Source organism: Homo sapiens, chromosome 5 (assembly GCF_000001405.40).
Source record: "Homo sapiens chromosome 5, GRCh38.p14 Primary Assembly".
In the NCBI taxonomy this organism is placed as follows: Eukaryota; Metazoa; Chordata; class Mammalia; order Primates; family Hominidae; genus Homo; species Homo sapiens.
Genome location: NC_000005.10, coordinates 92,883,277 through 92,909,073, shown reverse-complemented (window position 1 = coordinate 92,909,073; position 25,797 = coordinate 92,883,277). Strand labels below are relative to the sequence as shown.

The following is a 25,797-nucleotide window of genomic DNA, read 5'->3' as shown; positions in this document are numbered from 1 at the left end:
GCCTGGTAGAATATCTTTGAACCTTTGAAAATGCATTAGTCTTTCTCTACTAACATTCTCAATTTCACCAGCTCAGAAACAGATTTTGTATCTTAAGTATAAGTTATGATCCCCAACTGTCTCGCAACTTAAGTTCTGATCAAAAGTAGATTTGTTCTACAGCCTGGCTACGGAAAAGGCCTGCTTCCTCTGTATCCTCATTCAAAACTTAAAATAAATAGTATAATGTCTGTGTATGCAATTTCTAATGGAAGTATTTTCTGAAAGGCAAAACTCAAGAGTTATTTGTTTAGTTTTGATTAAAGTTGTCAAAGGCATTCTACTGAAGTAAAATAAATTATATTTATATAATATTGATTGTTTTAATCTAATAATTTTAATTTTAAAATGTTGGTCAGTGCAGCTGTTTAGGCACCAAATGATCAGGTAGTGATGATTGTCTGAAACTTCAAAAATCAGAGCAAGAAATTGTCATTTATTGTGTTCTGACTTTATGGAAGTCTCAATGAATGCTACAAACTTTTCCAAGTGATGTTTTACAGAATTGCTTTTAAAAACCCCAGAGGGTAAACAGTATTCTCAGAATAAATAGAAAAATGCTGACCTTGTCAGATTTAGCTGCTGAAAGCCAAGCTGTTTTAAGACTTGGAAGATCAAGGGTCACAGTTATAAACAACACAGATAAAAAAAGAAGAAAAAAGAGGAAGAAAGTAAGAAAGCTGGAAGGAAAAATAAAGTATAGTGAGTTACACCATGAATATAAGTAATAAATACATTGACCTTGACAAAAAGGGAATGAGATACTTATGTGGAAATATAAAATAAAAACAAGGCAAAATTTTTTTTAAAAACTCGCAGCCCAAAACTACTTGAAAAAGATGTTTCTTAGAGTATATTTAGAACCGGAAATGAGTCACTTTAATTTCATCTGTTTTTGGTTTCAGAAGGGGAGAAAGGTCAAAGCTTCTTTGTTTTAAGTGAGCTGGTCACTCCTTCTGAAGTGTAAAATGATAGGGGTCAGGAGTCCTAATGAAACAGGCATTTCCCAGACACCCAGAGCTGCAGAAGAGGTCTCCATAGTGGCAGGCCAAGAACTGGGCTTCAAAAAGGTGTTTTAAACAAAGGCAAGGCAGAGCTTGACCCTTTCTTGACTTTCACCATATGGACAACAGGATGTAGAAATTGGCCATTCCTTTCTATATTTTCATAAATTATCACACATTATAGCCCCACAACCAAACCATTATAGTGCCATTCACACCTAGGCCCAAGACACAGAGGTATATTTTTTATATTGCCCTGGTACAGGTGATGTTTTCTGTTAAGCCTAGATGAACTGAAACAATATTAGGAAGAAATTCTCATTGCTGAGAACAAAAGTACGCACTAATAAAAAAAGTGAGTGTTCTTAAACCTACTGGATTCAACATCCTTTGAATGGGAACGTTAAAATATAATACATCCAAAACAGTGTTGGGCTCAAGCTGACTGAAGAGACAGATTTTAAGAAGTGAGCCCTATCTTTACTCTGAGCACGGAAGGCCAAAACAAACTGTCTTCTTCAGCAAGAAAGTAAGAATACATTGCTTTCTATGTCTTCACCAGATTTGTCCAAGGTAAGGAGGTCTGGACTGTGGAGAAGATGGAGTTTGGAAGGATATGCAGCTTATAAATGCAGTTAGACACAGAGGATTTCCATTGCATCTCCAGTTTGTTGGTGGCTGGTTCCTCCTTTGCTGGTCTCTTTTATTCCATCTGGAAGATTCTGTTCATGTACACCTCTGAACTCTAAACTAGTTGTTCCTGACTTTGTCTCTGCAACATTTTTTCAGGCCTGTTGTATTCCTGACCTTGCTTCCTCTGTGCAATATATTTACTCCAGGTCATCTCTACCATGCCTGTCACCATTTTGCTTAATGGTTGGGGTTTGATGTTTTTGACCTTGGGTTGAACCCAGGAATGAATAACTTCTCTATACTGGCTCAGTGGCTGAATTATCAGTGTCTTTCCCTGACAATGTGCATGTTTTCAATGATTAGAAATGCAGCCTCCAAATAAGGAAAAAGGATAATATTTGCATAGGCCGTGCTTAGTTGCAGGTTTTGGAGCCGGAGATGTTCCAGCATAGATGCCTGTTCATAGAAGTGCTCCAAAATTGTATTTAGTGTAATGACACGTCCTCTTTAAAACCCTTTATAACTTTCTTCTTCCCTGGCCTCGTAAGAGGATAGAGAAATGTTTCTCGGCCATTACATGCGACTCTTTACAGGTTATCATATTCATTATGTCATTAGATTTACCACAACCCTGAAAACTTAATAGAGAAATTATTATCTCTAAAAGTTATACCACTAGCAGGTGGCAGGTCTGGAACAAACATCCATGCCCTATTGACTACAATACCAGTACTCTTAGTACCATGCTATGCCTCTCTCTCATATTATTATAAGAATAATAAACCTATAGTTGCAGAGTTGTAGAGCTGTATGAAGCCTTAAATATCATCTAACTTAGCCACATTATTGTTACAAAAGAGCAAATGTGACTGAAGAAGTGGCTTACACAGAATTATTGGCAGAAAACATCATATCTTCTGACTTCAAATCACACACACACACACACACACACACACACAGGAGATGACAAAAGGAAAAGAGATTGAGTCAGAAACTAATAAAGCTTAGGAAACACTAATGCAGCCAGGTGCAGTGGTTCATGCTTGTAATCCCAGGACTTTTGGGAGGCTGATGCAGGAGGATTGCTCGAGGCTAGGAGTTCAAGGAAACAGAAATGAGAAAATTTTCAATATAGTCATGGTTTCATGGTAGAAAAGGTTAGTAAAGACTAGATTCTGTATAAAAAAAAACTTCAAAATCATTAGTTTAATTTTTCTTAACTACAGAGACTATGAAAAAAGGCTAAGTTTTTAATAATTTTTTTCAAAGCTAATGCCTTATTGGCTCTTTTAAAAATTATTTATTGAGTATCTTCTGATCTATAAGACGTAGTTGATGATATAACTGTGACCAGCATATAGTGTCCACTCTCAAGGGATTCTTTGTGTCATAGAGGATTGTGGCAGTTTTAAGCCATGGCTACAATTATTTGACACTCCACCCATCAAAAGATGGGCTCTATGTCCCCTCCCATGCACCTGAGTGGGCCTACAATTACTTTCCTTCTGAGGCTGAGTAATATAAGGTCATGCACTTGGGAACTTGAGCTGGTAAGAAGCCCAACTACCATGATGTCACCATCCTGGAGGGGCAAGACACATACTCCATATGTAGGCAATGGCACTCTTACTGACACTCCCACCCATGCCCAATATTCCCACTAGTGCTGCCAAGGCACCGAACATGTGAGTAAAGTTTGACTTTCCATGTCCATCTGCTGGGTGAATGCCACCAAGTAACTCTGTCACTTGTCAGTGACCTGGAATAGAAGAATCACTCAGCAATGTTCCGTCCAAATTTTTGACCCACAGAAATTACGAGACTTAATAAGATGGCTGTCATTTAAGTTACTAAGTTTTGGGATTGTATATTATATAGCAATAAACAACCATAACAATGAGATAATAAATATATTTTAAGGAATTCAGAAATAATAGAAGTAATAGAAGGCATGATCCCTGATCTCTATGAATTTACAATTCACTTGGGGGAAAGGGGTAAGAATCACTAATGAAGCAATTAGAGAGATCAATAAGAGCCAGAAAAATCAAGGAAGTATAGGAACAAGTCAAAATTGAAATGGATCTTGGAGAGGCAACTTGCCCTAGTGATGGAGCAATTCAGAAGAAGACAATGATATTTAGTAAACTTTAAAACTGATATTATTAACAGTAACAATGATAGCAACCACTTATTTAGTGCTTATTATGAGCAAATAACTCTCTAAAGTTCTTTATATATTATTTCAGTTGCCTTTTAATGAACTTTCAAAATACGAATTGTCATGCCTTTTATACCTAGGAGGAAATAGAGCAGCTTCCCAGGTAACATAGGTAGTGTGGCAAGACCACGACTCAAACGGACTATGTGTGACTCATGATTTTAACAGGGGTTCTACACTACTCCTGTGAAATCACTTTTCACCAAAGTAAGAAATATAACTGTATTATATCCATAGCTTACATAGAACTTGATTCATATTAACAAAATTCAGAATAAATCCTTTAATTTTTAGATAGTAAGTAAATAAAAGGGCACATATTTTTACCTTGTCCTGAGTCCACAATATAAATATGATTATTAAAATTCTTTTATCAATATTTCTGAAAGTCATATAAATGTGTGATTTATTTTACAGAAATTTCAATAAGTCTCATTTTTCTAATTGACACATTTTAGCTTTTTTTCAAAAAAATAATATTTTATTTTAATTGAGACATACTAAAATTTCTAAAAGGTACTCGGGAATTTTCCTTACAAATCCTAAGAAAATACCCTCTGTTACGTAGTAGAATGAGTACAAGATTGGTTATTTCATTGAAAGTATTTTAACCTCTATAAGCAATTAAACCAACACGAAATAAGTTGAAGGAGCTCAAGTTTTAACAGACCGAAATAAATGAATAATCAAAAACATATTTATTTTTGTTTTAACTTAAAGAAAACACATGTGAAAAGGTGCAAAGATCTGCAGAAAAATAACATTTAAGTGGCCACCCGATATAGATAGGATATCAGTGGCTTGGGCAGTATTGTTCTCTATGATTTAAAGGGCCAGTAAAAACAGTTTCAATTCTGAAGCGATAATCACAAACTTTATATCACTTTCTCTGAAACCTCCTCTCTCCGGAAGAGAAGGAAAAGCAGTACAATGTGCTCATTGAAGAAGACAGCTCTGTACAGGCAGAAGAAGAAGCAGAGTCCTGTGCAGCTTCATTCTAATGTAGACTAAAGTGCATGGTATTGTTAGTGAGAAAACTTCTACAAATAGAGATAATTCTTTATCCAGGAGAAATGAAAAGAAATTACAACATAGCCAGCATAGGAGTGTTTCAAAAGTACAAATCAGTGATGCACACACACACACACACACACACAGCCCCAGATGTCAATGGTCTATTTTTCATTAAATAATTGAATTAAGATTACTTGAAAATAGATTCAATGTTTGTTGAAAGAAGTAAAATAGCTGTAGTTGTGTTATTGTTTGACAACATGGGTATTATCAACATTTGTTCTTTCATTGTTTATTCTATTATATGGAAATATCAAAATTTATTAATTTAACCCTCTAATAGTTGGGCATAGATTATTTTTCTTTCTTTCACTAGTACACAGAACTCAACTGAATAAAAATTTTTGTGCACATTCATAATACTTTCTTTAAATATATTTTTATAAATTAACTGACTGGTCAAAGGCACATTTTTCAGGCATTTCTTACATATGCCAACTTGCCTTAGAGGAAGGTTGTGCCAGTTTATAATCCTATAGCCTAAGAGAGCACTTGTATTTTTTTCCAGTGAGTATAAAAATTTAAGGCTTTTTTCTAATGTGAAAAATATCTTATTTTAAAAATGTGTAAATTTACTAAACCTCATTTTTCCATATGTTGTCTTTTAATTTTCTAAATGCATTTTTTGATACATTATTTTTTAACCAATTATTTTAATATGCTCCTTAAAGTTTCTCACTTTCTTGTTATGATAAGTCAGCTATAATTTATTCTAGATTTTTATGGTTTAATTATAAAAATACATTTTTAGTTCACCTAGATTTCATTTTGATGTATAGTGTTTGAAAAAAACCCTAGTTTTTTCTCCTTTTAAAAAAAAGTACATTAAAAGCTATACATCCAAATGAATTTTTTCTTCAAAGTCATTATCTTAGGTAGTTAATAACATATTTTAATGATACTCAGAACATATTTGTAAGTTTTCTCTAAAATTGTCTTTAATGCCAGTAGAAACTTATAAAGCCACATAAACACATCACTTTGGGATTTATAACTGTGCTTTGATTTTGATCAGAAGTGAAAAGACTCAGCTTGATCACTTATCTCATTCAGCAGACTTGGCTTTGATTGGCTTTCTGCTCTTTCTAAAAATAAAATCTGACCTCAATTGATGAAGATGCACCATCACTAAGAATATTTCAAAGGGTCTATACCAAAGATACCTAAGAATTCCTGAAAGAGGACTTCCAAAAATATTCGGAACAGTGGAATAAGGGTCTGCCCTCTTATAGTGACTAACTTGAAATTGGCAATACTCATTTTATTGTATCCATTCTGGTTTTGTTGTTTAAACTTTGTTTTCATTATTTAATAATTTTACTGTTTATATTTCCTCTAAGAATCAACTTGCTAAGTGAGCAATCTTGTGTATTAAACATCTCTTGTGTGATTTTAAGATGTCAATATACTTTTAAAAAACAAAACAATCCAAAACATATTTATACCAAAGCAGTATGTGTGTGTGTTTTAACCAGCAGATCTTGGACATATATAGCACAGTATCTCACACATAGGAATACAATTATAAACAACATTCTTATTAAACATATATTCTTCTTCTAGTACATTTAGTAATGAGAAACAGCAGTAAACATAGGACACAAATAATACGTAAAGGTAGTTAATGAAATATATATTCTAACAATACTTTTTTGGGGCAGAAACTTCATTTCCAGAAATATTAAATAAAGCATAGGATATAGTCTGGGATTTCAGGAAAGGAAAGAGAAGTTTTATTCAAAGATGACAAACTAGTGGACCTGAATTCTTCCTGTGCACTTAAGTTTACTTTTCTTTAATGTAAATGCTATTGAGTGAGCCCTATACCCTGAAGCCAGAGCTGGACCCTTACCCTGGCCCCCAAGGTATTTGAGTTTGCAATTTCCAAATTGGAATTTTCCAAAAACATTAAGCACAAATTAAACAAGTAAAACCTCATAAATTTGAGAATTCTTTTCATTCTTTTGAAAAAGGGGCTGTGATTTAAAAAGAAGGAGAGTACAAGATTTATCCTTTAGGTATGAAATGAAGGATTTATTGATTCTTGATTTTTGGAGTACACTAACCTTATGAACTATAGCCGCTTAATCCCTACGTGGAAGTTCAAGCACACCTCAGGCTTGGGGGTCAAATTTCTCTTTGGTCAGGGAAGTTTGAGGAGCACCAGGCCAAGAGCACAGATGGAATTCCCCTGGCCATCCCTGCTTCTCTTCCCACTCCTAGCATCATTCTGCACCTCGAAGGGTCTTGTGTGTCCATGGATGGATATTATAGTCACATATCCAAATTCAAACTCTGTTCATCTTTCGCCTTTCTCCAACAGCCACCTCACAGCTGCACCTCAGGACTAGCGGTGCCCAGACAGGTGGTGCTGTCAGTTTCCTCAGGATAAACCAAGACATTGCTATTCAGACCCCAGAAGGGGGCTCCAGGTCATTTGAGCAGAGTCTAGAAGGATGACTGCAGGTTCTAAATGGACATGTCTTCTTAGCATGGTCTGGAAGGCTAGACACAGGCCCCAGATGACTTGTCTTAGCAGAAGGTACCCCTTACTCTATGGGAAGCTGCATGGCTGGAGGAAGGCCCGGAGGTGTTCTCTGAAGCACAGGATTCAGGGCACAGGCCCTTCTTGCTTCGGTATAAGTTTTATTCATTTTATTTTGTTTTTTTATTTTTTTGAGATGGAGTCTCACTCTGTTGTCCAGGCTGGAGTGCAGTGGTGTGATCTTGGATCACTGCAACCTCCACCTCCTGGTTCAAGTGATTCTCCTGCCTCAGCCTCCCAAGTAGCTGGGATTACAGGTGCCCGCCACCATGCCCAGCTAATTTTTTGTATTTTTTTTTTATTAGAGACAGGGTTTCACCATGTTGGCCAGGCTGGTTTCAAACTCCTGACCTCAAGTGATCTGCCCGCCTTGGCCCCACAAAGTGCTAGGATAACAGGTGTAAGCCACCGCACCCAGGCAGTACAAGTTTTCTTGTTTCCCTGAATTAGAATCCTAGTCTTGGTTCTCAAAACAGCACTTTCGTTCTGCTCTGTTCTCCTCAGAGACCAAGTTTTGCCTGGGACCCTCATTCTAAAGATTATGTCTCCACTTCTTTCTTCTGATGACCTGGATTTAACAGGGTCTCAGTGCCTTCTGAACCTATTCTCCCTAAGTCATTAAAAGGCCAATTCAAAAAGAGGACTTTTGTCCCTTCTGAGCATATATACAATTATCCTAAAAGAAGTCCAGCAGACTTACCTTCAGAGTTGGCCTTACTCTCAAAAGGAAGGCCAATTTACTTGGAGATGCCCAAAATTCCTTTAATGGAGATGCACTATTTTATTCCATAATTAGAGACAAAAGGATTAATATAACTGGACCTGACCATGGTTAGACACTTACAGAAGCTCATTCACAATCAAGGGTCATTAGTCAATCAACCAGTTAACACCTATAACTGGCAGACATTAGAGCCCTTCCTGTTTCGATGAGTGGGTGGGGGGTAGATAATAGAAAGAATCTTAGAAAATCAAAGCTTCTGCATATACGGGTAGACTAACCACTGAGATGGGGAAAGAGGAATTTAAATGGAAAGTTGAACACTGAAAACTTCACAGATTTGCCCACCTTGTCATTACCAGACTGAGTGTGGAAGGGCCACACAATCTCTCTAAGGACATAGGATTCAAAGAATATAATCTAGGGATGATTAGTCAGTGATGCTATCATGTTTGAAGAACAGAATATTACACTACAGATTCCGAGATTCCACAGCCAGGAGGCAATGGATATCTTTGATTTACATTCTGAAACATGAACGCATAGATGTAAAGCAGCTATTCACATCGTGTGGAGTCTGTGGGTAAGTCATAAATCAAAGCATGGAACCTCAACTGTGGTACCGTGACTAAAGATCTTGTGGCTATTCTTTGAATAGTTACCCATTATCTGCTATTATCTTTAGTTGGCAGCTTAGGGTAAACCATTTTTATAAAATAAAAATCATAGTATCTAACAATTTTTGAACAAAGTCTTGAGCTAAACAAGCTACTTGGATTACATTATTTAATCCTTATAGCAACTCGAGGAAACAAGTTTGAGGAAACTGACGGGTAGAAAATTTACTAACATTTGAGGGTCACAGAGAGAACCCGACAGCACCAGAATTCTAATCCGGGCAATTTGATCTCACGAAAGCTCATGGAAATTTTCATTGTTCCCCACTAAGCATAATAGTAAGAGCTGTACTTGGTGGTTTCTTCTATGTAGTTTTCTGCTCATGTCATTGTTTGCTTTAGGACTTTGGGTTGAAGAGAGTGTTTTGCAACAGTAAAGGGATGACTAGATAAGCATCATTATTACCTATGTTTTGACTGTTCCCAGTATAACATGTTTTCAGCTGATATGACTCTTCAGTAAGTGGAATAAAAATAAGTGGTACAAAACTATCCTTAACACAGCTAGCAATAAATGAATGCAACAAGAAACTGAATATGGTCTCCCTATAGGAAACCAAGCAGAACCACTTACTTGAAATGCAAAGTATTGGAGCATGCAAAAAAGTTTGATTTAAACCTGCTTTTCTCAGAATCTTTTCAAGATTTTATTCTTCATGAGTAAACAAGCTAGAAGGCTCTGATTAGAAGTAGGCTAGACTCCTGATAGAACTTTCGAGGGAAGCAATATTTTTGTCATAACAGCCTCATTCCTGGAACTTCAGCTAATACTACAGTTATTGTGGGCATTGAAGGGTTATTGAAAAGTAGCCATTAATTTATTAATTACTTTGCTTACTAATTACACAAACATTTATTGAACATCGATGAACTTGATGATGTAAAATATACTATGCTTTGATCTATGGAAGATACAAATATTGGCCATATAAAGGCTAAGTTTTCCTGGTTGTATCAAGAGAAACTAGCTGAAGCTAACATTGATTTAAGGGCGATTCATTATAAGGATAAATGGAAACCTGAGAAAGAAAGTATACAAAAGCTGAGGAAAGGATATTCCAATAGTCCATGGAACTTTTCCTTTTATTATTGTAGCCATGAAAAACAACCTAGTGCCTTGGCACTTTGTTTAGAGTTGAAGAATAAATTCAGGGCTGACCCAGGAACAGAAAAGTCTGCAGCAGGAAACCCAGAAAGTGGCCAATTTCCAGGTTTCATCTCTTTACCTTTGCATTTGCAATCTCTCTACTCACTTGACAGAGAATATGACTGCTCTACCATGCCTGGAGCTTGGATATTGCAATCCACCTATCCTTAACTGCATGTCATTCTAATAGGCTCAAAGAGGATGCCCAGTCATAAGAGTTGGCTTACCAGTAGTGGCCAGGTGTGAGAAGAAGTGGAAAAAATAGGGCTGCTGGAGGCTTACCTTAGAGAGAAGGAAGCAGTTCTGAGGGTGGTGTTTATTGCAGACTTGGCAAATAACTTAGTATTTATTCCAAACTAAAAGTGGACACTGCAGTAAGCAGAGCCTTTGGATACATACATAAATTATATTGTTTCTCAGTGTTCTACATTTGAAACATCTCACTGTATTCATTCTCCTTGCAAATATGCTGCTCACACCATGTTTTTAATAACCTCTTATAAACTGATAATTGTTAAATCTATATTTTCAGCATAAACTTCTTTCCTGAGCTCCAGGTCCAATATTATACTTCTTAACAATGCATGACTCCTATGCATGACTCTAAGATATCGCAAATTCCATATGTTCAAAACTGAAATAATCTTCCCTCCAAAATGTGTGCCTCTTTCAGTATTCTCTCTCTTTAGCATGTAAAAATAATTTTTTTTAACTCATAGCAAAGACCATAGCAAATATTGGGAAATCATCCTCATTAGAGGCAAAAATATGAGAGTCCAAAAAGGGCATCTTGAAAATTGGAACAGAAAACTAGAATCTGAAGACTGGCAGTAATACACACATTAATAAAGTGTGTGTTCATACATAACCTGACAACAATGTATAATTGGGAGTCCAAATAAATTAATTTGGCCATTGGAGTAAAACTTAGTAGTAAGGTGACTGTATATCCTAGTCTTCCTGAAATAGTTCCAATTGATTTTATGTTGGCCCAGCATTCTGTCTGGTTTCATATTTGTTTCCAATGTTTTATTTATAATGAAGTATTATTAGCAGTTTAATTAAAGTAGTCTTGGCTGGGCTTAGCAGAACTTCACTTTTTTCTCCAAGCTTCTGCCATAGGCTTGACCACTAATGCGTAAGATGTATGTACAGTGAACAGAGTTCTCACTCTAATATGTGGTAAAAATAAGAAATGGCTAGTGATTAACCATTTCTCTTTACTAAACTTTTTCCAGACACAGTATGGCTAAATTCCTCTTTCTTCCCAGGGCAGATAACTCCATGTGGTATCAAGTGGTAATGGGAGCAGCTATTCTACCCTAATGCCCTTGATGACACTTGCTATATTTATCAGTTGTGCTAGGGCCCATAGAGCGGTTGATGAGATGTAAAAAGACATCAGTCAGTGGAATCAATGGGAAACATGGAAATTATAAGCTGGGTATACATGAAACATAGGCAGGTAATAAAGGCTGAGTAGCCCAGACATGGAGGACATGAAAAGTAATTTAAACACTGTTTCTAGAATGAGTTTGGCATTTATGTACAGTGCAAATCTAAATATTCAATAGTTTTACTTTTGGTAATGTCTTTAAATGTTGCAATATATTCTCTTTTAAGCAAGAATTAAAATGAAAAAATAACAGTACATGTTTATTGAACAAATAAGTACTGGTTTTCCATATCTTAAGCTATTTTGATGTTGAATATATAACTTGCACAAAATGTTGACATTTGCCATCAACCATCATCAGGAGACATAATTGAACATATGTAAATAGAAGATGACAAATTTGCTAAGGCAGCATCATTGTGTACTACAAAAGTTAATACATCTCTTTCAGAGATTGTGTCCAAAGAAAACTCCTTAACATTAGCCCATGCAGTCGAGTGTGTTTTTGTATCACTCTTTGAAAAGTGACATTTCATTTAGATTAGATGACTGCTCATCCCAATTAATTTAACTTATTTTGATCCCAACATTCCTTTTGCTTATAAAATAAAGTGATAGCTATTATCTTTGACCCATTAGTAGAAGCAAAATTGTACAAACAATTAAATAATGTCAATTTTATGTCATGTCATCAGATACTTCAAATAGAAAATTCATTCCAAAAGTGGTTTGATTGTTTTTTCATTCAATTCATGGAATCTAAGTGAAGCTTTTGGAAGTACTTTTGTCATAGATGAAACACATGACATTATTGGAAATGCAATTGTTAATATTTTACAAAGAACAACAATATTTTACAAACAGTAAAGATAAAATTATTTGTTTTGCAGTGATCATAAGTCAACAAAACTTGGAGTAGTGCAGCATCATAGTAAAAACCATGTTCTGAACAAACTAAGAAAGTTATAGGGCAGAAATATATTTTGAATTGATCATGGATACATTCACAGTTATGTATAAATAGGCTTATATATTCTATAAATCAAAATGTAAGTGGTAATTTTTAGAAATAATTTTATTTTTGAAGTTCCTTTTTGAAGAGGACTATTTTATGGTTCCACCAATAAAATAAAAACAATTAATTCATCAATGTGAAATAATTTTAAAATTCTAGACTTTTCATTATTTTTAGCATTCTATTTGGCTGTCAAATCTGTCTTGGTTTGGATGATCAGTTATATGGTTATTCTACCTATTTTAGACAGAAAGCATATGTATTGCCCATCCATTGAATCAAGACATAAACCTGAAAGTCATTTGAGACTCTTTCCCCTCACTGAAACATCCAGTTACTAAGTAATCTTGAAGAACTAAATTCCAAATTCTCTATTACTATCTGAGTTCAATGCTTTAGCATTTATCTCCAAAATTACTTCAAAAGACCTCTGCCTAGTCTCACCATCCCCAGTCTTTCATCCTTTCAACTCATCCTTCATACTTCTGTCAAAGTGATAGTTCCTTAAAATCCTTTGAAAACCCTCAATTTCCTACAGAATAAAGTTCAAACTTCCTGTCAGAGAAGGTTTCTGCCTACCTTCCACAGTTTATTTCTTGCCTCTTCCCTCCATGTACCCTTTACTCCTGTTTTATCTATGCATCAAATACATTATCCTCCTTTAGGACATGAGGCAGATGAAATGTGCTTAGCCTATACATATATTTTTTCTTCTTCTTTGCTTGTATCTCTTACCATAAGTTACCTTCCTCTACTATAGCAGTCAATATGTACCATACTTAACTCCACTAGAGTCATGAATTTGTTATCTTCCTCTCTAAACTGTGACTTTTATGAGAACACAAAGTCTGTCATGCCTTCCACATTCCCAGTACTAAAAGTATTCCCTTACACATCAGAGACATGAAATAAATATGTCTTGAATACAAGGTAATTCAAGATTGATTCAAGTCCTGAGGCACAGGTAAAGTGTTATATTTGAAGAAGCAAAGGGACAAAGTATTTCCAGTTAGGAGGAAAGAGGGTGAGAAATATTTGAAAGATCTAGATCAAGATTCCTGAATGACAGTTATCCTAAAATTTAGACATTATTTTCTTAATAATGATAAATATTCTGAGTTTTTTAATAGGAATCATGTGTCAACACATAGAACTATATGTGAGATGGTTTGCACAGAAGAAAAAAAGGAACCTAGTTAGAAAATTATTGGACAAGCTAGGTGAACGATAAGCAGGGCTGTCCTGGAACCAGTTTGTACTGGTTTGTGAGAGCCAATTGCTAAGTTTTGGAAGCATTGTGAACCAGCTTTTACATATAATCATTATTAAAAGCTAAATTACGTAAATTTATAATTGAATAATTTATATAAAAAATAAAGGTAATAAGTACCCCTGAACTACTCACTTTATAATTATTTTCCTATATTTTACTGTTATCTATGTGCTCAAGATAACATGTACCTGTATGGTGGAAATAATATAAAATGGGGTACTCGTGTACATTTCTTCCCAATTCAGTGTTTCGTAACATTATGAGGGTAGCTTGAAACTGGTCATGATGAGAGTATTTACACTATAGCAACTGGCAACTGCTACAACTACGATTTGAGTTATTGTTTTGTTGATTGTCTAGATTTAAGGAAAAAAGAAGACAACTATAAAAATATGATTAAATTTAAAACTGTGTCATGTTTATAGCCATTCCTTTCTGAGTAGCACAAAAATTTATGGAAGTCTTCTATTATAATGTCAAAAATTATTATCAAGATGTTGATAACGAACAAAATTTTAACACATATCTTCACATTTGCACAACATTTATGTTACGACTGCATTTATTCATCAATTGCAACCATAGGTTGGTTGCTATAGGTACAAGGACTTGGCAAAAATTAATAAAAACATTGTATGAGAATAAATTGGATTTATAAAATTTACATTAAACAGGATTGTGTATTTTATCATAATTTTTAAATTGTGAGCTACACATCCTTTACACCAATAAAACAATATTATAGCTGTCATGTTTTTGAGACAGAGTTTTGCTCTTGTTGCCCAGTCTGGAGTGCAATGGCACCACCTTGGCTCACTGCAACCTCTGCCTCCGGGGTTCAGATGATTATCTTGCCTCAGCCTCCCGAGTAGCTGGGATTACAGGCATGCACCACTACGTCCGGCTGATTTTGTTGAGCCAGGGTTTTACCATGTTGGTCATGCTGGTCTTGAACTCCTGACCTCAGGTGATCCACCCGCCTCGGCCTCCCAAAGTGCTGGGATTACAGACATGAGCCACTGAGCCCAACCATTCAGAAATCTTGATCTGGATAATTAAACAATAATGATCGTATATATGTTTTTATATACATATGCAGAAACGCTGACAGTTAAACATTTAGCATCACACTGCTTGTAATATGACCTTAGTAGTAGAAATGGGGGGGTGGGAAGGATACTTTTAAAAATACTTGGAGGTGTAAAAACTGATTAAATGTCATTGAATCTATAAATTACCTTGGGCAGTATGGCCATTTTCACGATATTGATTCTTCCTACCCATGAGCATGGAATGTTCTTCCATTTGCTTGTATCCTCTTTTATTATTTCATTGAGCAGTGGTTTGTAGTTCTCCTTGAAGAGGTCCTTCACGTCCCTTGTAAGTTGGATTCCTAAGTATTTTATTCTCTTTGAAGCAATCGTGAATGGGAGTTCACTCATGATTTAGCTCTCTGTCTGTTACTGGTGTATAAGAATGCTTGTGATTTTTGTACATTGATTTTGTATCCTGAGACTTTGCCGAAGTTGCTTAGCAGCTTAAGGAGATTTTGGGCTGAGACAATGGGGTTTTCTAGATATACAATCATGTCGTCTGCAAACAGGGACAATTTCACTTCCTCTTTTCCTAATTGAATACCCTTTATTTCCTTCTCCTGCCTGATTGCCCTGGCCAGAACTTCCAACACTATGTTGAATAGGAGTGGTGAGAGAGGGCATCCCTGTCTTGTGCCAGTTTTCAAAGGGAATGCTTCCAATTTTTGCCCATTCAGTACGATATTGGCTGTGGGTTTGTCATAGATAGCTCTTATTATTTTGAGATATGTCCCATCAATACCTAATTTATTGAGAGATTTTAGCATGAAGGGTTGTTGAATTATGCCATCCTCATCAAGCTACCAATGACTTTCTTCACAGAATTGGAAAAAACTACTTTAAAGTTCATATGGAACCAAAAAAGAGCCCACATTGCCAAGTCAATCCTAAGCCAAAAGAACAAAGCTAGAGGCATCAGGCTACCTGACTTCAAACTATACTACAAGGCTACAGTAACCAAAACAGCATGGTACTGGTACCAAAGCAGAGATATAGATCAACGGAACAGAACAGAGCTCTCAGAAATAACGCCGCATATCTACAACTATCTGATCTTTGACAAACCTGAGAAAAACAAGCAATGGGGAAAGGATTCCCTATTTAATAAATGGTGCTGGGAAAACTGGCTAGCCATATGTAGAAAGCTGAAACTGGATCCCTTCCTTACACCTTATACAAAAATCAATTCAAGATGGATTAAAGACTTAAACGTTAGACCTAAAACCATAAAAACCCTAGAAGAAAACCTAGGCATTACCATTCAGGACATAGGCATGGGCAAGGACTTCATGTCTAAAACACCAAAAGCAATGGCAACAAAAGACAAAATTGACAAATGGGATCTAATTAAACTCAAGAGCTTCTTCACAGCAAAAGAAACTACCATCAGAGTGAACAGGCAACCTACAAAATGGGAGAAAATTTTCACAACCTACTCATCTGACAAAGGGCTAATATCCAGAATCTACAATGAACTCCAACAAATTTACAAGAAGAAAACAAAAAACCCCATCAAAAAGTGGGTGAAGGATATGAACAGACACTTCTCAAAAGAAGACATTTATGCAGCCAAAAGACACATGAAAAAATGCTCATCATCACTGGCCATCAGAGAAATGCAAATCAAAACCACAATGAGATACCATCTCACACCAGTTAGAATGGCGATCATTAAAAAGTCAGGAAACAACAGGTGCTGGAGAGGATGTGGAGAAATAGGAACACTTTTCCACTGTTGGTGGGACTGTAAACTAGTTCAACCATTGTGGAAGTCAGTGTGGCGATTCCTCAAGGATCTAGAACTAGAAATACCATTTGACCCAGCCATCCCATTACTGGGTATATACCCAAAGGACTATAAATCATGCTGCTATAAAGACACATGCACATGTATGTTTATTGCAGCACTATTCGCAATAGCAAAGACTTGGAACCAAGCCAAATGTCCAACAATGATGGACTGGATTAAGAAAATGTGGCACATATACACCATGGAATACTATGCAGCCATAAAAAATGATGAGTTCATGTCCTTTGTAGGGACATGGATGAAATTGGAAATCATCATTCTTAGTAAACTATCGCAAGGACAAAAAACCAAACACCGCATGTTCTCACTCATAGATGGGAATTGAACAATGAGAACACATGGACACAGGAAGGGGAACATCACACTCTGGGGACTGTTGTGGGGTGGGGGGAGGGGGGAGGGATAGCATTAGGAGATATACCTAATGCTAAATGACGAGTTAATGGGTGCAGCACACCAGCATGGCACACGTATACATATGTAACTAACCTGCACATTGTGCACATGTACCCTAAAACTTAAAGTATAATAATAATTAAAAAAACAAAAAAAAAACTGATCAAATGTGATTCAGAGGTAAATATGGTTTTGAGGCCTATTGACATATGTAGTTTGGAGAAATATAAAGAACAAGAAGAAAAGACTTATGAGAAATAATGTTCAATTATTGATTATTGATTGTTGTGGCTTCCAGTGGAATGTGCCCAGTAGATCAGGGTGAAATATTCATATTGAGAGACGTACAGATTTGGGAGTTACCTGTGTGCCCTCAAAGTCATTGCAGAAATGACGAAAGAAATTGGCCTAGAAAAATCTTTGAGAGAAAATCCAGTATTACGGGAAAGAAGAAAAAGGATATGCAGAGAAGGAATCAGGAGTAGCCAGAGAAAAAGGAAGAGAATTGGAAAACCAGAGAAGCTTGGTGAAGAAAGAATGTCAAAAAGGACCTTACTGTTAGAGATAATGACATGAAGAATACATCATCAGGCCCTTGTTAGTGTTTTGTTTGAAAACAGCAACCTAGAGGGAAAAAACAAAAGGATTTAGATTGGAACAGTTCAGCACAGTGGACACTAAAAGAGCGTATGATGTAAATATTCTCTTAAAAGAATCAAGAGCACCCAGGTAATTTCTCCTTCAGAATATCTGTAGGTTTGTCCTTGGGAGCTATCGGTCTGCTCTTTCAACATTAGAACTACTAATCCCCAGTAAAACACTAGAGGGTTACATTTAGATTATTTTGGCAGAATCATGAAGGTAGGCTGTAGATTTGGAGACCGGAAGAGTCCTTGAGAGAATTTGCATTCCAAATACCTCAAAATTGAGTCATAGCAGTTGGCAACTTCTGGTATAATCTCAAATATTCACATGATAGCAAAATCCAGTAGTTAATCCAATTGCTTACAAGATAAAAGCCATGTGGACTGCACCTAACACAGACACATACTCAAAACTGCAGTGAAAACTTTATTTGATAAGCGCTGTAACAAAAAGTGCATGTGGGTGCAGGGCACTGTGGATTGTTGGGTAGCCAGGACACAGAGAAGAGAGGACAAGCAGCTGGCCACTAAATAAGCTTCTTAAATGATGTCCACACCAGTTATCCTGTTGGAAGAGGGAACTGATAGTCCTCAAGGCATCCCCCAGCTTGTGAGTAACATCAGTGCCTAACAGGTGATTGCTGAGGGTAGAAGAACCACCCTGGGTTCTCATGGCACAGACATGCTTATTATGGATGGCAGAGGCAAGCAACAATCTTCTTGAAGCTTCTTCAATTTGTCCATCCTGCAGCAAAGACTTCAATGGACATTGCCAAATACCAAGATGCCAAGGTGGGTGATAGCACCACCTCAGTGACCTTACTGGCTGCAGAGTTTCTGAAGCAGGTGAAACCTTATGTGGAGGAAGGTTTGCACCTGAAGATCATCATTCAAGCTTTACGCACAGCCATCCAATTGGCAGTTAATGATAACAAAGAGATCACTGTGACCATGAAGAAGACAGAAAAAGTGGAGCAGAAGAAGCTGCTTGGAGAAGTGTGCCATCCTGCTCTGAGCTCCAAGCTCATCTCCCAGCAGAAAGCCTTCTTTGCAAAGATGGTGGTTGATGCAGTGATGATGCTTGATGGTTTGCTGCAGCTTAAAATGATTGGAATCAAGAAGATACAGGGTGGAGCCCTAGAGGATTCCCATCTGTTACCTGGTGTTTCATTCAAGAATTTCTTTTATGCTGGTGTTGGAAATGCAACCCCAAAAGTGCTATAATCCCAAGATTGCACTTTTAAATTTTGAGCTTGAGTTGAAAGTTAGGAAAGATAAGGCTGAGATCAGAGTCCTCACAATGGGGAATTACCAGGCAATTGTTGATGCTGAGTGGAACATTCTCTATGACAAGTTAGCAAGGATCCATCATTCTGGAGCCAAAGTTGTCTTGTCCAAACTCTCCAATGGGGATGTGGTCACTCAGTACTTTGCTGACAGGGGCAGGTTCGGTGCTGGCTGAGTACCTGAGAAGGATCTGAGTAGGACAATGATGGTCTACAGAGGGTTAATCCAGACCATTGTGAATGCTCTGTCAGCAGACATGACATGCTGGGCAGCTGCCAGGTGTTTGAGGAGACCCTGACTGGAAGTGAGAGGCACAATTTCTTTACTGGCCTCCCAAGGACAACACATGCACCTTTATCCTCCACAGTGATGCCACAACTTATGGAGGAGACAGAACAGTTCATGCCTAATTCCATCATGATTGTCAGGAGGGCCATTGAAAATGATTTGGTGGTGGCTGGTGGTGGGGCTATTGAGATAAAGCTCTCCAAGTACCTATGGGATTAGCAAGGACTATTCCAGGAACACAGCAGCTAGAGTGGGGGGTATGCTAAGGCTTTGGAGATTATCCCATGGCAGCTAAGTGACAATACTGGCTTTGATACCACAAACATTCTCAACAAGCTGTGGGCATAGCATGCCCAGAGAGGCACATGGTATGGCATGGACATCAATGATGAGGATATTGCTGACAACTCTGAGGCCTTTGTGTGGGAGCCAGCTATGTGCCAGGAAGAACACCGTCATCAGAGAAATGAATTGTCTTGCACCTTGATTTTGGACTTCCCAGCCTCCAGAACTGTGAGAGAAAAATTCCCATTGTTTAAGCCATCCAGTCTGTAGTATTTTGTTATGACAGTTCAAGCTGACTAATACAATAGAATTTTGTTAATTGAGATAACTGATAGTTTTCAGGGCACTCATAGGGCTGCCACAAAAAATATGACAAACTAGGTGGGTTATAACAACAGACATTTATTCTCTCACAGCTTGGGAGGTTAGATGTTCAAAAATCAAGGTGTTGACAGAGCCATGCTCCATCTAAATGCTCTAGAGAAGAATTCTTTCTTGCCACTCTCTGAGTTTCTGATGTTCCTTGGGTTGTAGCTTCATCGCTGTGATCTCTGCCTCCATCTTCAGATGGCTTTCTTTTCTGTGCATGTCTCTGTGTGTCTGTCTTATAAGGATACTAGTCATTGGACTTAGGTTCACCCTAATCCAGTATGTTCTCATTTTAACTTAATTATATCTATAAAACCGTATTTCCAAATAAGGTCACACTCAGAGGTTCTGGGTGGATATAAATTTTTGGAGGATACTGTTCAATCCCCTACAGCTGATAGTGAAGTAGAAATTTTCAGTAAATATTAAAATACTTCTAAAAATTACAGATCTGAATTTTCTAAGTAATAAAAATTATATTCTGATTTATTTTGTGTCACATTCTAACTCATTTTTTCCATTTCATTTAATTTCTCTTTCCTTCATTGCCCCTGTCTCAGAAGGCTATGGCTTACCCATGAGAAACGATAAACTCTCTCTTGTGGTTGATATTTATGGGAATGCAAGCTGTCAGGTAAGCTGATGCACTCTTTCTTAAATATTTGACCCACAAATGTAGCCAGACACTTGAAAAAAAATCTGTGTTTCCTAGCTGGTGTGGTTATATTAATATCAGACGAAGTAGACCTCCAGACAAGGAAAATTGCCAGAAATAAAGAGGACACTTCATAATGATAAAAGGGTCAATTCATCAGGAAGACGTATCTTAAATGTGTATGTGCCTAATAAAAAAAGTTTCAAAATCTGTGAAGCAAAACAAGATATTCTCAAATCAGTAATCACAGTTGGGCATTTTTAACACTACTATTAGTACTTGATGGACTATCCACACAAAGAATATTGATAAAGAGATAGAAAATTTGAACAGTACTGTCAACATATCTGGCCTAAATAACATTTACAGAACATTTCACCCAACACTGCAAAATACACGTTCTTTTCAGGTTTACATGAGAAATTCACCAATATAGGCAACAGGATAGACCAAAAGAAGTCTCAACAAATTTTTTAAAAAAGGAAATCTTATTGAGTATTCTCCTGCAATAGAATTACATTAGAAATCAATACAATATATAAAAATCTCCAAATATTATAAAATGGAAAAAAAATGTTTTCTCATCTCATCTTTAAAAATGAATGTCAGTGAAAGCTCTTATTCAACTCTATGAATCCCAAGTGGGTAACGAAAAATCTCCACTAAATTGTTCAAGAAAATTAACTCTCAAAACCAATTAATCTTTTTAAAATTTATTGTTTATAGAGCTCTTTACAGTTGTCTTATGTATTGCCATTGACCACTCGCTTGCTACATCAAGAAAAATGTATTCAGCAATATAAATAATGCTTTCATATAGCCCAAGATTATTTACATGAATATTCTATATTACTTTTCATGGTCTCATTTATTTAAAACCTCTAGGATCTCAAAGTCTTTCTGGAACCAGAGACGGGATTGCTAATTGTCTTGGAAATGTGAAATAAACAATTTTTCTACATATGTTAGTGCCACTGTTTATTGACTATTTGCTCAGCTCTGATGTAATTGGGGTCATTAGGGAAGCAAAAACAGCTCCCATCCTGTCAGTACCTGACCTTTAAACTAGTCGTACATTCTGTGTTACTGGATGTTAAACAAGCTAGCCCTTTCATGGCATGGTAGCTGTTGTTGCAATGCAAGCAGGAGTAGAGAGGTGCCATTCCTTATTGAAAACTTTTTTGGAAAAAAAAAAAAAGTCTTCTGCTGCAGACATGGTGTTCCAAAAATCAGACAAAATATATTTCATGGAAAATCTATTTTGAGTTCGACATTCATTTGAAAAGCTAAAACTAGCATCCGGATAAAAAAAGGAAGGGATGAAACATCAAACTGAAAATATCTTCCTATATTGTGACATTTTAGCAAATGTAAATGAAACCACCTTTAAGGCTGTCACAAGCAAAGAAATCCAACTGGGGTCTTGATGACTGAAGGAATGTTAAAGAATCTCTCATCAGCAGACCATAAAGAATAAAGCAAAAGCTATCAGTAATGTGCAGATGTTATCAGGATGTGACTACAGCACAACCCCGCATCCCGATGAAGAGACAAAACTGCAGATGTTTAACATATTACAGGAACTAACCGCAAATTCTGTTTTGCTTCTCCTACTTTATAGTGTTTAATTTTTTTTTTTTTAAAGACACATGAATTGCACTTTGGAAGAACTTCCTCCACCTCAATCACTTTGTAAGTCTAAATGCTTCCTACTAGAATGGAGGGAGTTCTGGGGAAAGTGGCATATAAATTACTACACGGGTGTGGGCAGTGGGAAGTATGCAGGGAAGGGATGTGTTTAAGCGTTTATATGGAGGTGGTGGGAAGAGAGTGCTCATCATTGTGTGATAATGGAAGCCTAGGTGTGAGATAGAGACCCATACGCTGATTTGACAACAAACCTACTTTAAATCTGCTTCAATCCTGGCAAACCAAAAGAACTCATTGAAACTTCAATTTGTTAAACAAAGTAGAACACATTTGAAGATGTGAAGCCAATAATTCTGCCCAGATGACTTTTTTCTTTTAAAGTTATAGATAGAGTAACAGTTTGATAGATAATTTATTTAGTTTTCAAAGGAATTGTTTATCTTTCGGTAACTGCCCCTCCTTGGTGATAATTATTTTAGTGGGACAGCTGAGTTTTCATTATGTTCTTGAAAACGGCCAATTATCAAATCATGAAAAGGTATACTAAGACATATATTTCTTTCATTTTGATTAGTTAGTTTAGACATACTCATGTTCCAGGAAAATTTTGTTTTCCAAAAAGAACCCAGCCTATCTATTGTGCTCAGCTGCTGGTTTGATCCCAGGTCGAAGTGGGGGTCAGCAGCTGGGGTGAGTAGGTCAGTTTGCTGGTGCCCTCTTCTGTCCGACACAGGTCTCTGCTGGCCTCTGTCCCCTCTGCTCTCTATCTGCAGTTCTGTTCTCTCCCAAGGAGCCTGCACGACCTTGCCCTTCAGGGCCTTTATTCAGAACCAGTCAATATCAGCTGGGTCACATGGACTGAAGACTACAGAATAAAAACAAAAAAAGAAGAAGGGAGGTACTTTTTTAAAAAGAACAAGATGACCTCTTTGAGATTAAAAACATAAAACACACTAAAACCCACAAATCAATTTTGGCGATGGGCTTTTACTTCAGGGAAAAACATGTAATTTACATTGGAAAGAATAAATATTAGAAAGCGTGACAAAGAATGACACTCCACTTTTGGTGAAAATGATTAAGTCTGTATGTTTATAAGGATGAAAACTCATAGAAAGATATCACCTAGAATGAAGAGTGGCTTAATATGTATTCTCAAAATAATTTTCTTTGAGATTCAGGAAAGAATAAGGCCAGAAAATGGGAGTTAACATATTGTACTTTCCAAAGGAAAGAGACAGAAGAGATACACAATAAAAAAGATAGTCCTGCTTGATGTTACAAGGCTTGAGTAAGTAATTCCAAACCGATGATTTAAAAACAAACCAAACCAATGACAAAAACAATTTTTGGTTTTAAAGCACACTCATCTATTTATGTCCACATGGACTAAATACAGTAGAAAGTAAACACAGTTCATCTTAAAGGTTGTTTAATAGTGGGCTCAATACATTCTCTTCACCTCTCCATTCCTAGTGCCTGGAACAGCATTTGGCACATTGAGAGTGTCCAATAATGTTGGTTAAATTGAATCATTGAACAAGAGTAAAGAACCCTGTTCTGAATGCTGAACAAAGTAAAATATTCAAATATTTGAATATTTCAATGCTTTCTGTCTCAGGGACCATCTCAGCTTGTAAGAAAATTTCATGTATTTTTTATGCCAGGGTAGGCAACTACAGAGGGAGTGAAAGAAATTCTTTAGAGTAAGGTTGTTCCACCTTTTGCCAAGTTGTGACCGGCTGAAAAACTCAAAACATTTTGAGGAGATGCTATCTGCCATGGGGATTACCACACTACTTGTAGGATCAAAGAAAATTCCACATTTTACCCTGGTGATTAGCTGTAATTAAATAAAGTAAGTCTTTTTAAACTTCGTTAGCAGCAAGACGTTTGCTACAGCAGAGTGGGCACAAATCATCCATTCTTAATTAAAAGATAATCCACAGGATGGCCATAATCTTCTTCTAAAAATACACCATTTCCCCCTGAAAGATTTTCTCATCAAAAAGGATAAATAACAGTTTCTATGAGTTTAAGCCATGAAGGAAGGATGCTCCTCCCGTTTGCTTGAGTGAGTGCTGAATGTGGCTGATAACATCACTTTGGCATGCTATTATCTAAAATGGTAGAATACCTCACTTCAGCAAAGTCTGACATAAATCTTTGAAAACAAAGACATTGCATATGTATGAGCTGAAATAGATATGACAGTGTTGGCACATTAATATTCCTGTCACTAGGGGGTTTCAAACTTTTAAGGAGAGGATGGGAATGAATTCAGACTGTAGCTGGTAAAATAGGGCAACATACAGTAGGACAATTAGGCATGAGGAACCATCATAAAATATGCACAGAGAAGGGTTCCCCTGCTCCCTGCCTTTGGTTAAAAAATGACTGTAGGATCATTTCTTGGGAATGCCAAGAATAATTAATTTGGCTTAGAGATCTGCATGGTTGTTCTAAGCATACTAATAAGAATATTCCACAAAGACCAGTCCCAATCAATAGAACAGAGAACTGTTTTTTCATGTGTAGCCACTGTGGTGGTTCGTGGTAACAGATGTTTCCACTTATTCCACAACAACTGTCATTAAAAGTAACTGTGGGTCCTAATTGAACAGTTCTCCACATAGTTGGATCTGTGCAGAAAATAGTTCTGTTATTGTATGTCCTACAATTACTTTCTTTTCCTGTTTTTGATTGCTGATATGATAAGCTTTACCATGATCTTTATACTGAATTTCTCTGGAAGAAGTAAATGAATGAAAAATGAATTTGTTTTTAACTCCATCTTATCCTATAGAGTATTACTGTGTGTTGGAAAACCATCTACTTAGAGATGTCAACCATTTTTAGAATAGCCTTGTAAATCATCAAATTCTAGAAAATCACCACTTAACAAGGAAGATGACATAACTGTTGTATTAGATTACATTCGGCATGGGTAATTCTGTATGCTAAGAGTTATTCAACACTAGGTCTTAATGAAAAATTGTCACTAAGTTACAGTTCTGGTGTTTGAAACTTATGTTGAAATGTTAGAATTTTTCTTTTGATAAAACATATGTGTTGATCTGGTGAGTGGAAATGAGGGGCTGCACTGCTTAAAGGCTTTTTACCAAAAGCTTTTTGGACACAGTGCTCTAGCCCTGGGAGGCTTGGTCTGAGCCCTGACAGCAGTCTTCCAGATGGAGAAAAAAGGCTTCAAAACCTCCCCTTTTGACAAAGAGACATGAAATAATATCTGACAAAGGCATCTCAAGCAAATATGATGGCAAGCCAGCAATTATGTAGGCTACAAAGGAGAGCACATCTCACTTCCAAATGTCTTTTTTTTTTCCTTCAAATTTTACTTATAACAACTCATAGAGGTGCTTAGGTCAGTATTTTTAGAAGCAATTTAATGTATGACTGTGCTTTAGGTTTGGTGTATCTCCTTTATTACACTAATGCTATTTGTCATTTCATGCATATGTCAGCATTGTTTTTGAATGGAAAATGGTTGGGAAGAAACCAAGCACAAAGAAAGGCTCTTGCAGCTCACTATATACAACTTTGTTTTAGAAAGAAA

The 25,797-nt window shown here is 36.6% G+C and overlaps 1 pseudogene, besides 1 other annotated feature; it reads left to right on the top strand.

The window, feature by feature from the left end:
• On the top strand, positions 18,164–19,702 carry CCT7P2 (chaperonin containing TCP1 subunit 7 pseudogene 2; annotated as a pseudogene).
• Positions 23,648–24,933: an enhancer, noted in NCBI's record as "VISTA enhancer hs1153". NCBI's record gives its function as "enhancer in: branchial arch[3/10] | eye[7/10]" and the evidence as "EXISTENCE:transgenic organism evidence [ECO:0001131][PMID:17130149]".